The 12,426-nt window shown below is 42.6% G+C and overlaps 1 protein-coding gene and 1 long non-coding RNA gene across 19 annotated transcripts in view, besides 3 other annotated features; one reads left to right on the top strand and one right to left on the bottom strand.

The window, feature by feature from the left end:
• The window catches only part of ARMH3 (armadillo like helical domain containing 3), a 210,575-nt gene that overhangs the window by 141,801 nt on the left and 56,348 nt on the right, over positions 1-12,426 (top strand). The window contains exon 24 of one of the 18 annotated variants that reach the window (XR_001747199.2): positions 9,923-10,002. The exons of the other annotated variants lie outside the window; for them this stretch is intronic. The gene's annotated coding sequence lies outside the window, so the exon portion shown is untranslated. The remainder of the gene's footprint in view (positions 1-9,922; positions 10,003-12,426) is intronic. 18 annotated transcript variants of the gene reach the window in all.
• Positions 4,002-9,727, bottom strand: LOC124902492 (uncharacterized). Its single transcript, XR_007062269.1, has 2 exons — positions 7,223-9,727; positions 4,002-4,288 (listed from the first exon to the last, which is right to left on the bottom strand). It is a non-coding gene; the product is annotated as an uncharacterized LOC124902492 (long non-coding RNA).
• Positions 5,664-5,713: a silencer, noted in NCBI's record as "silent region_2735". NCBI's record gives its function as "represses an Ori minimal core promoter by ATAC-STARR-seq in GM12878 lymphoblastoid cells {active_cell/tissue: GM12878}" and the evidence as "EXISTENCE:reporter gene assay evidence [ECO:0000049][PMID:35858748]".
• Positions 11,244-11,907: an enhancer, noted in NCBI's record as "OCT4-NANOG hESC enhancer chr10:103662223-103662886 (GRCh37/hg19 assembly coordinates)". NCBI's record gives its function as "activates a minimal SCP1, AML or CMV promoter by ChIP-STARR-seq in naive H9 embryonic stem cells {active_cell/tissue: H9 hESC(naive)}" and the evidence as "EXISTENCE:reporter gene assay evidence [ECO:0000049][PMID:30033119]".
• Positions 11,907-12,066: an enhancer, noted in NCBI's record as "active region_3918". NCBI's record gives its function as "activates an Ori minimal core promoter by ATAC-STARR-seq in GM12878 lymphoblastoid cells {active_cell/tissue: GM12878}" and the evidence as "EXISTENCE:reporter gene assay evidence [ECO:0000049][PMID:35858748]".

Raw genomic sequence — 12,426 nt, 5'->3', positions numbered from 1 at the left:
GGGATTACAGGTACCCGCCACCATGCCCGGCTAACTTTTTGTATTTTTAGTAGAGACGGAGTTTCACTATGTTGGCCAGGCTGGTCTTGAACTCCTGACCTCATGATCCTCCTGCCTTGGCCTCCCAAAGTGCTGGGATTACAGGTGTGAGCCACCACGCCCAGCTCGGGTATCATATCTTAATCCTGTGTTTTTATGCCCCTTCAGCCCAATTTACTGACTATTCATAATAGATACACAGCACTTCATCCAGCCGGGAAATGAAGGTTCATCTTGGCCAACACTTAATTAGTCATTAATTATTTATTGTTCATTTCCTGTGTACCCAACCCTGTGTCCTTAGTTTCTGACCTACATTGGTAGTACTACCACATGGCAAGATTTCATAGGGTAGAATGCCATTGCAATTAAGACTTTGGAGGAACAGCTGAAGGCCAGGGTACAATCCTGCTGTACCCGAGTTAGAATGTGACCAGAATAGCTATACTTCCATTATAGCTCTTTTGAAAAGCTCCAGGAGATGACAGACCACTGCTTACCACCCATTATTTGCACCTGGGAAGTTTCTGAAGTGTTCCCTCCCTTTTGTGCAGTCATGGCAGCTCCGGGAAGGAGGGGACCACTTTACGCACCAAACCAAACAGGTCTGCTGAGGACATTTGCTCACTAAAGTCTGGGAGCCTTTGGCTCTGGTCAAGACTGATGTGGGCCTGGTGCAGTGGCTTACGCCTATAATCCCAGCACTTTGGGAGGCCGAGGCAGGAAGATCACTTGAGCCCAGGAGTTTGAGATCAGCCCTGGCAACATACAAGACCCCATCTCTACAAAAACATTTAAAAAAGTAGCTGGGTATGTGACGTGCACCTGTAGTCCCAGTTACTTGGGATGCTGAGATGGGAAGATCATTTGAGCCTGGGAGGTTGAGGCTGCAGCGAGCTGTGGTGGCACCACTGCATTCCAGCCTGGGCAATAGAGAGAGACCCTGTCTCAAAAAAAAAAAAAAAAAAAAAAGAGAGAGAGAGAGAGAGAGAGAATGTACTTCCTTCTGTCTGTCCTTTTAACCAAGAGCTTTCTCCTAGACCAAGAATTCCTGGCCAGGTGTGGTGGCTCACACCTGTAATCCCAGCAGCTTAGGAGGCTGAGGCATGAGGATCACTTGAGCCCAGGAGTTCAAGACCAGCCTGGGCCACATAGTGAGACCCCCATCTCTACTGAAAAGAAAAGCTTAGCTAGGAGTACTGGTGCATGCTTGTAATCCCAGCTACTCAGGAGGCTGAGGCAGGAAGATCCCTTGAGCCCAGGAGTTCAAGGCTGCAGTGAGCTATGATTGTGCCACTGCGCTCCTGCCTGAGTGACAGAGCTAGAACCTGCCTCTAAAAGAATTTAAATATTTCCTTTTTTTCCCTGTCTTTGGTATCCTTTTATAGATAATATGTACATATGGAAGTGTGTTTTGACTTCAGGGTTTTGTTTATCCATCATCTGAGAAATGCAAAATCCATTTCTGATAAAAATTCTCAGCATACTAGGAATAGAAGAGAGCTTCCTCTGTATGATAAAGGGCATCTGTGCAAAACCTACAAGCTGTCATATTTAATGCTGAAAGACTGCGTGCTTTTCCCTAAGATTAGGAACAAGATGGATGTCTGCTGTCACCACCTCTATTCAGCATTATGCTGGAGGTTCTAAACAGTGCAATCAGGCAAGAAAAAGAAATAAAAGCCATCTAAATTGTAAAGGAAGATGTAAACTGTCTTTACTTGCAGCAACATGATTGTCAATTTAGAAAACCTGATGGAGTCTACAAGTTACTAGAATAAATGAGCTCAGCAGAGTTGTAGGATACAAGTTTGATGTACAAAAATCAATCAGAAATGGTATCTAATGAAATTTTTCTCTTTTTTAGTATCATGAACTCAGCATGTTATGTATTTCAGTTTATTATTCTTGTGCTCAAATCTTTTTTTTTTTTTTTTTTTTTGAGACAGAGTCTCACTCTGTCGCCAGGCTGGAGTGCAGTGGCACGATCTCGGCTCACTGCAACCTCTGCCTCCCAAGTTCAAGCGATTCTCCTGCCTTAGCTTCCCAAGTAGCTGGAATTACAAGCGCCCACCACCACACCCGGCTAATTTTTGTATTTTTAGTAGAGACGGGGTTTCACCATATTGGCCAGACTGGTCTCAAACTCCTGACGTTGTGATCCACCTGCCTCGGCCTCCGTAAGTGCTGGGATTATAGGCGTGAGCCACCACGCCCAGCCATGCTCAAATCATTTTCTTTGGACATTCATGGGTGTACATTCATACTGGATTCCATGTCTTTTTTGTTGTTGTTGTTGTTGAGATGGAGTCTCGCTCTGCTGCCCAGGCTGGAGTGCAGATACACGATCTCAGCTCACTGCAACCTCCGCCTCCTGGGTTCAAGTGATTCTCCTGCTTCAGCCTCCTGAGTAACTGGGGCTACAGGCGCCCACCACTCCCAGGTAATTTTTGTATTTTTAGTAGAGATGGGGTTTCACCATGTTGGCCAGGCTGGTCTAGAACTCCTAACTTCAAGTGATCCACCCGCCTTGCCTCCCAGAGTGCTGGGATTACAGGCGTGAGCCACTGTGCCTGGCCCCATGTCTTTTTTATGTTTTATTTTAGAGATGGGGTTGCTCTGTCGCTCAGGCTTGAGTGCAGTGATGTGATCATGGTTCACTGCAACATCGAACTCCTGGGCTCGAGGGATCCTTCTGCCTCAGTCTCCTGAGTAGCTGGGACTACAGGTTCATACCACCATGCCCAGCTACTTTATTTTTTAGAGATGGAGTCTTGCTGTGTTGCCCATGCTGATCTCGAACTCCTGGCCTCAAGCCATCCTCCCGCCTCAGTCCCCTGAGCAGCTGGGATTACAGGTACAAGCCTCTGCGTCCAGCCTACATCTTTTTGACAAGACTCTGGTAGTCTTTGTTAGCCTTCTTGCTTTCTGGCACAAGATGTCGCAGGATTATCATCTACACTTCCTGCTCCAGACCTGGAATCAACCATTTCTTCACAGAACCCTCACTTCTTTTATGTGGGAGGTTTCATTATGTTTGACAGCAGAGCAGAGAATTGCAGCCTGGCACCCATTGACAGCTTATAGAGTGTCAATAAATCCCCTCAAAATATACCCAGAACTGTGTTCACACACTCATTTTCTGAAGACTTGAACATAACATTGATCACCTTCTGTCTCTTTTTTTTTTTTTGGTACGGAATCTCACTCTGTCACCCAGGCTGGAGTGCAGTGGCATGATCTTGGCTCACTGCAACCTCCGCCTCCTCTGGGTCAAGCGATTCTCCTGCATCAGTCTCCCGAATAGTTGGGATTACAGGCGCCTGCCACCTCATCTGGCTAATTTTTGTATTTTTAGTAGAGATGGGGTTTCACCATGTTGGCCAGGCTCATCTCGAACTCCTGAACCCAGGTGGTCCATCCGCCTTGGCCTCCCAAAGTGCTGGGATTACAGGCATGAGTCACCGCGCCCAGCCCACATTCTCATTTATTAACCAAAAAAAAAACCTGAATGTGTGTGGGCATGGCTTGGGCTTGACCTGGATTGTGAGAAAATCATCCCCTTGTATTACACCTTGAGTTGTTGTTTTTTTTTTTTTTTTGAGATGGAGTCTTGCTCTGTCACGCAGGCTGGAGTACAGTGGCACGATCTCAGCTCACTGCAACCTCTGCTTCCCAGGCTCAAGCGATTCTTATGCCTCAGCCTCCCAAGTAGCTGGAATTACAGTTGTGTGTGCCACCATGGCTGGCTAATTTTTGGGTTTTTAGTAGAGACGATGTTTTGCCATGTTGGCCAGGCTGGTCTCGAACTCCTGACCTCAAGTGATCTGCCCGTCTCGGCCTCCCAAAATGCTGGGATTACAGGCATAAGCCACTGTGCCCAGCCCACCTTGAGATTTTAGGTTCTTTTTTCAAGAATTCAGAGTGTATATGGTAAATGGTGGCAAATAACACAATCTAAATAATCTAAATACTAACTTTAATATTTATTCTCCCAGTTCAGTGCTGGAAAGCTACATTTGGAGTAGCTAGGTTATCAGACCATAGGTGTTGGAAACAGAAGGGAAAAGCTTGTTCCCCTTGGTTGTAAATCTCCGGGATGAAGGTCAGTTTGGTTGTAATTCTTTCTTCAAGTGTCAGCAGCAGATGGTTAGAGACAGCATTTATTCACCAAGGACTAGGCATTTTGAAGAAAATTCCAATCTCCAGTGTTTTTGACTTGCCAGGGCCGCATCACTGTATTGATTTCCTGCATTGAAGGCCACAGGAAGAGCAGGTAGACAAGTAACAGGGAAAGCGTTTTTGCAACAAGGTCTACATAGCATAATTCAATAGAAATACGTTGTGAGTCACATGTAACTTTAATTTTGAACATATAAAATTAATTTTTAATAGTTATTTTACCCAAAGTACCCAAAATATTATTCTTCTAACATATAATCAATATGAAAACATTAATTTAATTTTAATTTTTAATTTTGGTGGGTACATAATAGGTATATATAGATATGAGATACGTGAGATGCTTTGATACAGGCATGCAATGTTTAATAATTGTGTCATGAAAAATGAGAGACTGGGCATAGTGGCTCACTCCTGTAATCCCAGCACTTTGGAAGGGCAAGGCAGGAGGATCACTTGAGCCCAGGAGTTCGAGACCAGCTTGGGCAACCTGATATTTACAAAAAATACAAAAATTAGCTGGGCCTGGTGGCACGCGCCTGTGGTTTCAGCTACTCAGGCGGCTGAGATAGGAGGATTACATGAGCTTGGGGAGGTTGAGGCTGCAGTGAGATGTGATTGTGCCACTGCACCCTAGCCTCGGGACAGAGTGAGACCCTGTCTCAAAAAAAAAAAAAAAAAAAAAAAAGAGGAAGCTTGCAACATACCTTCCTCTGGTCTCTTTTTTTTTTTTTTTTGAGATAGGGTTTAGGGTTTCACTCCTGTCGCCCAGGCTGGAGTGCAGTGGTGCAATCTCGGCTTACTACAACCTCTGCCTCCCAGGCTCAAGCAGTCCTCTTGCATCAGCCTTCTGAATAACTGGGATTACAGGCGTGCGCCACCACACCTGGCTAATTTTTGTATTTTTAGTAGAGACGGAGTTTTGCCATGTTGCCCAGGCTGGTCTCCAACTCCTGGCCTCAAGTGATCTGCCCGCCTCGATCTCCCAAAGTGCTGGGATTATAGGAGTGAGCCACTGCGCCCAGCCCTGGTCTCTTTTTTTCTTTTCTGTTCTGAACATGGTACTATCTTCTGCATTTCCACTCAATTCTGTGTCCATAGTGTGCCTTCACTTTTAAATTTAAAAATCTTTCAATACTTACTTTTTAAAACTAGAAACAAAATTTAATTATAATTAAAATAATAGTAGGGCCAGGGGTGGTGGCTTACACCTGTAATCCCAGCACTTTGGGAGGCTGAGGCGGGTGGATCGCCTGAGGTCAGGAGTGCGAGACCAGCCTGGGCAATGCAGTGAAACCCCTTCTCTACTAAAAACACAGAATTAGCCGGGTGACGTGGTGCATGCCTGTAATCCGAGCTACTCAGGAGGCTGAGGCAGGAGAATCGCTTGAACTCGGGAGGCGGAGCTTGCAGTGAGCTGAGACTGCGCCATTGCACTCCAGCCTTGGTGACAAGAGCGAAACTCTGTCTCAAAAAAAAAAAAAAAAGAAAAAGAAAAAACCCACAGTGGTAATTATTTTACTTTAATTAGCAGTTCTGATTTATGTAATCATAACTGTAACTTGGTGGTTTTCAACTGATATGATTTTACCCTCTGGGGGACATTTGCTATATTTCAGTTGGCACAACTTGGAGAAAGGAGGATGTATTACTGGCATGTAGTAGGTAGAGGCCAGCTATGCTGCTAAACATTCTACAGTGCCCAGGACAGCCACAGCAACAAAGTAGCCCCAAATGTTAGTAGTGCTCATGTTGAGAAACCATGCTGTAACTCACGTTATCACATAAAATATTAAGTAAATATATTACATTGTTAAATTAATATGTAAAAAGTAAGTCATTTTAACTGAATCCATTGACATCAACTAGATTGATGATGTATTTACATGCATTACTAGAAACAACACACCTGCCCAACACATGTACTGTAATACAGCAGTAATATCTTATACAATGCAGCAGTTAAAGTGAAATGTAGCCCTACCAAAACAATACAATTGTATTTAGTGGAACAAAATTTAAACTACTTTAGTTTTTTTCATTTAAATTAATAAAATTTAAAATTCAGTTCTTTAGTTGCACTGGCCATGTTTCAGATGCTTAGGAGCTACATGTGGCTGGTGGCTACAGGACGGGTCTAGAGGAAGATCAGATATGATGGGTTGGCTAAAAATTCCTTACACTGTAAGGCAAGGGATGAGGATGGTTGACTTGTTACTGCAGGGCTTGAAGTGCGGCATGGGAGCTGGGTTTAGCCTGGTTTCTATAGCCACTATTTTCCTATACTTGATTTCTAAAAATAGAGAAATCAACACATTGTTTTATTAGGATACTACCTTGGGTTTTAACCTTGCATTTTCCAAGATCGGTTACTGCTGAAAAACAGGCCTGACTCTGGTAGTATAATAGATTCCCAGCTATTTCTGTGTACCACTAGGATGAAACTGTGGAATCAAAACTATTATCCCGGCCCAGCACGGTGGCTCACGCCTGTAATCCCGGCACTTTGGGAGGCTGAGGCGGGTGGATCATTTGAGGTCAGGAGTTCGAGACCAGCCTGGCTGAAATGGAGTAATCCTGTCTCTACTAAAAATACAAAAAAATGAGCTGGGTGTGGTGGCGCATGCCTGTAATCCCAGCTACTCAGAGGCTGAGGCATGAGAATCACTTGAACCCAGGCGGCGGAGGTTGCAGTGAGCTGAGATTGCACCACTGCACTCCAGCCTGGGCGACAGAGTGAGACCCTGTCTCAAAAAAAAAAAAAAACAAAAACAAAGACAAAAACAGTTATCCCAGTTCCTGAGCTTCTATTCACACTTTGTTGAAATTAGGAAGAAAATGAAGATATATTATATATTCACTATAACTTCTCAGTAAATACTTTTCTTTTGCTTAAAAAATACCTTTCCATAGATCTAGAAGAGCAAGGAGTTCAAAATATAAGCAAATTATATCTATAAATGTATCTAAATAGGAACTTAAAGGAACCAAAGCTTGTTACCTTTGTCAAACAGGATGTCAGGTCGTCTCCCCGTTGGTAGACATTTAAAGCACCAGTTTGGTAGCTCTCTGAAGACTAGTGTTACGAAACTGTCTTCTTTCATCCCTGCTTGTTCCATCTTAAACTGAAGGCTTTAGTCTAGACAGGTGGAAAGTCAGATATAGAATTAGTTCAAGGGGAGGGTACCTTGTATCATGGGGCATGTAAGTGACTGTTTTTTTCCTAGAATAGAGAAACTGGTGTTAACTGGTAGGAAGTGCTGTTTATTTTGCCCTTAACTGTTTTGAAGCTACATATCTGATTCTTCACAGCTGCCTAGGTGAACAGGCTTCACAGTTTTTACTACCAGCATGGTCTTGCCTCTTGAACGTCATTCCCTACCCAGAGGTCCCACAAGTACTTCAGACTTGACATTCCAAAGAAAATGCCTTATTGCCCTACCCCTACAATTTAAGAACTTTTCTCTCCTATGTTTACCTTCCCAATTAATGGTGTCATCATCTGTTTAGTTGCCTAAAGTAGAAATCTCAGTTACTTTAAATTCTCTGTCTGCTACCCAGTCAGTAGGTTCTTTCAACCCTGCCTTCTAAATATCTCTCAAGTAAATTCTTCTTCCCCAATGCTACAACCACTATTTTATTTCAAGGTCTCATAATCTCTCATGTTATAAGAGCCTCCTAACTGTTCTTTTTGCCTTCAGACTTTTTCTTATAGCAGCCACTATTCAATTTGTTCAGTCACAAGTTGGATTTCAGAAGCATAGGTCTTTACACTGCTGGTGGGAGTATATGTTAGCAGCATCACTTTGAGGGCAGTTTGGCAACAGCTAATAAAGTCAAAGTTGCCCAAACCTTATGACCCAGTAACTTCACCCCTAGGTACATTTCCTTGAGAAACTTTCTCAAACAAGGATGTATAAACAACAACGTTGATTGCAGTATTAATCCAAAATAAATACCAAAAGAAAAAACAAAAGGAAACCAGTTACATTTCTATGAACAGGAAAATGGATTGTGGTATATTTATACAATGAAATGTGATACAACACTGAAGATGGACTAGAGCTAAACAAATCAGAATAAGTCTCACAAATATAATATTCATTAAAAAGTAAGGTGCAGAATGTAACATGTACGTAACATTTAAGAACACAAAGTGATATGTTATTTAGAGACACGTTTGTATTTAGTAAAAGGATAAACACTCTGTATAAGAATGATACTCCGGGAAAAGACGGACAGACAATCAAAAAGGGGTTCATGGAGGGTTTGAAAGGTAGTTATAATTCTTTCTACAATTAGATGGTAGGTATATAAGCATTCAGCGTATTCTTTTTTGCACCTTTTTGTACATCTGAAATATTTCATTAGGAAACCACCAGATTTTAAGTCTTGCTTGATTCTTCATCATTGATAGGGATAGGATAATGTCCAGACCTTTTTGCATGACATTTGATCCCAACCTACCTTTCTAGCCTTATTTGTTGTCACTCTCCCATCTATCCTAAGATCTGTCCCAATTAGACTTGGCCATAGAGTCTCAAATTTCATACCTCTGCACATGCTTTTACCTAGAATGTCTTCCCTCTTCACTTTTCACCTACCAAAATTCTGTTTATGCTTCAAAATCTAGCCCAGATGTAACCTTCCTTGAAAGCTTCCTGGATTCTTTGAGAGAGAATGATTCACACCTGCATTGCCAAAGGGTTTTGTACATTTCTCTCTTGTAGCATTTATCACATTGTGGTATGGTTGTTTACATGTCTGTCCATCACTAAATGGACAGAGACCATGACTTTTTTACTTCCGTAATTCCTGCCCCAGCACAATCCAATATGTTACGATAAGTGTTGAGTGAATGGGTGGATAGCAGAATGAATGATTTAATCTTCCAAGGCCTTTACATTGCCATCATTGTCTTCCAGAATCATCACCTGACCTGAGGTCTTAAGCTACAGAAATGGATATTGAGATGCCTAAGAAGTCCTATAGGACTTTGCTTCTGATTGTGTTTCCCAAATGTGTCTGTGGAGCCCCGTTATAAAAGTCTGCTTCAGATCTTAACAGACAATAGGAAATATAGTCTTAATAGCTCCTGGATTAATCCAGTATAGCCAGGAAGTATGCTTTGAAATTGTTAGAGTCCCTTTCTCAGTGATGAACTGAGTTGTTTTTTCTTTCTTTCTTTTTTTTTTTTTTTTGAGATGGAGTCTCTCTCTGTCCCCAGGCTGGAGTGCAGTGGCGTGATCTTGGCTCACTGCAACCTCTGCCTCCCGAGTTCAAGTGATTCTCCTGCCTCAGCCTCCTGAGTAGCTGGGACTACAGGTGCACACCACCACACCCAGCTAATTTTTGTATTTTTAGTAGAGACAGGGTTTTACCATGTTGGCCAGGCTGGTCTCAATCTCCCGACCTCGTAATCTGCCTGCCTCGGCCTCCCAAAGTGCTGGGATTACAGGCATGAGCCACCATGCCCAGCCAACTGAGTTTTTTTTTTTTAATCCCAACACTGTAGAATTTACTGACTTCCAATTCCCTCCAGAGTAACAGGAAGACGGCCGAAAGGCTTTAATTATCCAAAATGGGGCTTTGAGACAACTAAAGCCACTTTGAAGTAAATTATTGATAGCATTATGCATTGTTTTTCTTTCTTTTTTTAAGTAACAAGTCAAAGTAATTAGTGCTATTTTTATCTTTGCAGATTCACTGAATTATAAGGGATTTTAAGGCTGCCTTAAAAAAAACTCCTCACTGGCTGAGTGCTGTGTTGCTGTCATTTATGTAAGCTAGAGGCCCTGCTGAGGGAATGTGTGTGTGTTCTGGGGCTGTTTCACATGCCACTGGTGTAGGTGTTTGGACGCCTTACTGCTCTTGGCGGTAAGGTGTTTGCTCAGGCTCTTCGTGGCATTAAAGGTTCTCTTCTGTGTTTCTCACTGAGGACCTTCCCAAATGTATATTATTAATCTTATAAGCCAAAAGAGAACCAAGGACACTCTTATAACAGGCAGCTGCAAAGCCAAGCCATTTAGTGTCGTCAGTGTGGTTTGGTGGAGATCAGAGACTGGAGGCTTCAGTGTGGCTTTAAGTGGAACAGCTGCATCACCAGCTGGAGACTGACAGCCGCAGAGGGCGGGCACGGCACAGCTGAGATCCATCTACTCCCATGGGAGCCTGAAAGACCTGCCTCCAACTTAGAAAACTGCTTTGTGTTTACAGTTAGTTTAGGGGAGAAGAGGTAGAGAACCTGCCCTGGCCTGTCTCCATGAGCATCTTTGAGTCAGTACTGAGCAAACAGGTGTAAACAGGACCCCAACAGGCAGAGGTCTTGTGGCTTTCACAAAAGTTGTCCTGCTTCCCCTTAGATGGAAAATATTTAAAATGAGACACTGGGAAAGGAAGCTATAACTTTTATCTTTAGTTTACTGGAAAAATTTGACTATTTGTTGAAGGCATGAACCTAATTTTTAACTAGTAAGGTTTCTTTTGTTTGATTTAGTAAAAGTTCGGTATCAGTCTCCTTCCCTGTAAGAAAATGTGCCCACACATTCTCACCTTTCCTTGCCTAATTATAAACTAATTCATATTTTGAGACTCTGCTCAAGCACCCTGTCCTTCAGAATGTCCTTTCTAAGCCTGCAGGTTGGGCTAAGCACCCCTCCTCTGTGCTTCCATGATACCTTTTGTCTACTCTTTGTCTGCCTTAGCCTTTACCACATCATAATGAAATTATCTGTCTGTCGTGTGTGTCTTTTCCATTTATGAACTCCTTGATCTCTGGGATTTATTTTATTCACAACCTTCATTGCCTAGCGTAGTGCCTGCACATGATAGGTATTCATATGTTTGTCAAACAAACTGAATTATCAAGAGTCACTGGCAGTGCTGGCAAACCTTTAGCTTCAGATACTGTAGAACTTCCTTCTAGGGACAGAGATTCCTTGACTATATGAGAAAGCAGTCAATTTGCAGAGTAAGAGAGGAGAAAATATAGAAGTTCTGTTTCTAAAACAGTGCTTATAGCATAAACAAAGTTCTTTAATTACTTTAAAACTAAATTTCTCCTTTTGGTAGCGTCACCTTTCAGGAGGAAGAAAACTTACTGCTCTTTCTGGTATATTGAAGAGATGGCAGCTAATAACCTCTTTGTGAGCATAAAACAATTATACCAGCCTCCTGTGGAGACAATCTGCCAGAGCCAACCGCCTCACCCTCCGCATGGGCTTCATTTTCTTACTCTGGAATCTCATCGACTCTCCCCTAAAGACCTTCATCTTGTTGCACTATTATGATGAATGTTTGGAGCTGGCTCTCACCCCCTGCTTTACTAGCTATTACTGGAGGTGCCGTCAAAGAATCAGGCCCCAAATTTATCCTCCCATTAAGTCCTCTCCTGGGCAGCGCTGCTTGGTTCTGAGTAGCAGTCATCTAGTTTCCCCTCCTTTTCCCACCTCCCGCTGCCTTTGAATGTAAGGAAACTGCAGGCCCTGTTGCAGACAAAGAGCTGTGGTAGAAAGTAAGGTTGCAAATCACTTTCTACCACAGCTCTTTGTTTGCTCTTGTTCTAGACCTGAAGAGAAGTGCGCACGTATGAGTGCCTGTGCGTGCATCTGCTGTGAGACCTCCAACATCATTTTCTGTCACAAGCCCAGCCCAGAAGTGCCACAAGTGACATTTCTTCAGTTGGTTGGTTGTATCTGTCTCCCAGCAATGTCTTTAGGATTTCTTCTCCATAATAAGTTAGAGATGTATCGGTTTCTGGACACAGGGACCTTACCTACTTCTGTCTATTCATATCTGTTCCTCTGAGTAATAGACATATGGTCTTTGGCTTTTTAAACTAGTTATATGATTTTTTGAATTTGTCTCACAGCTACTCTTAACAGCCTTCCCCTTGTGAGAGTTTCTGTTGAATAAAAGCTTTCTGGGTCTCTGATGTAGTTGGTTGGCATTTGGTCAATTTGGGGCTTTCATTTTGACTCTCAAAATTATTTGCAGAAAGAAATAGGGCCAAAAGGTGCTTCAAGTGCCATTTGTAAATCTTAGGATAATTGATAAGTATTCATTTATTCTAGCAAGCAGTGGATTTTGTTAAATAATAGATACTGATTAGGTCTCAACAAATCTGACCCTGTTAGCTTTGGTGCTAACTCATTAATAAAGCTGATGTTGAGGCTGCCATTAACATTAGAAAAGCGATGTTCCCTA

This window comes from Homo sapiens, chromosome 10, assembly GCF_000001405.40.
Source record: "Homo sapiens chromosome 10, GRCh38.p14 Primary Assembly".
Lineage (NCBI taxonomy): Eukaryota > Metazoa > Chordata > Mammalia > Primates > Hominidae > Homo > Homo sapiens.
The sequence above is the reverse complement of the archived record's forward strand: the minus strand, read 5'-3'. Positions and strand labels throughout refer to the sequence as shown.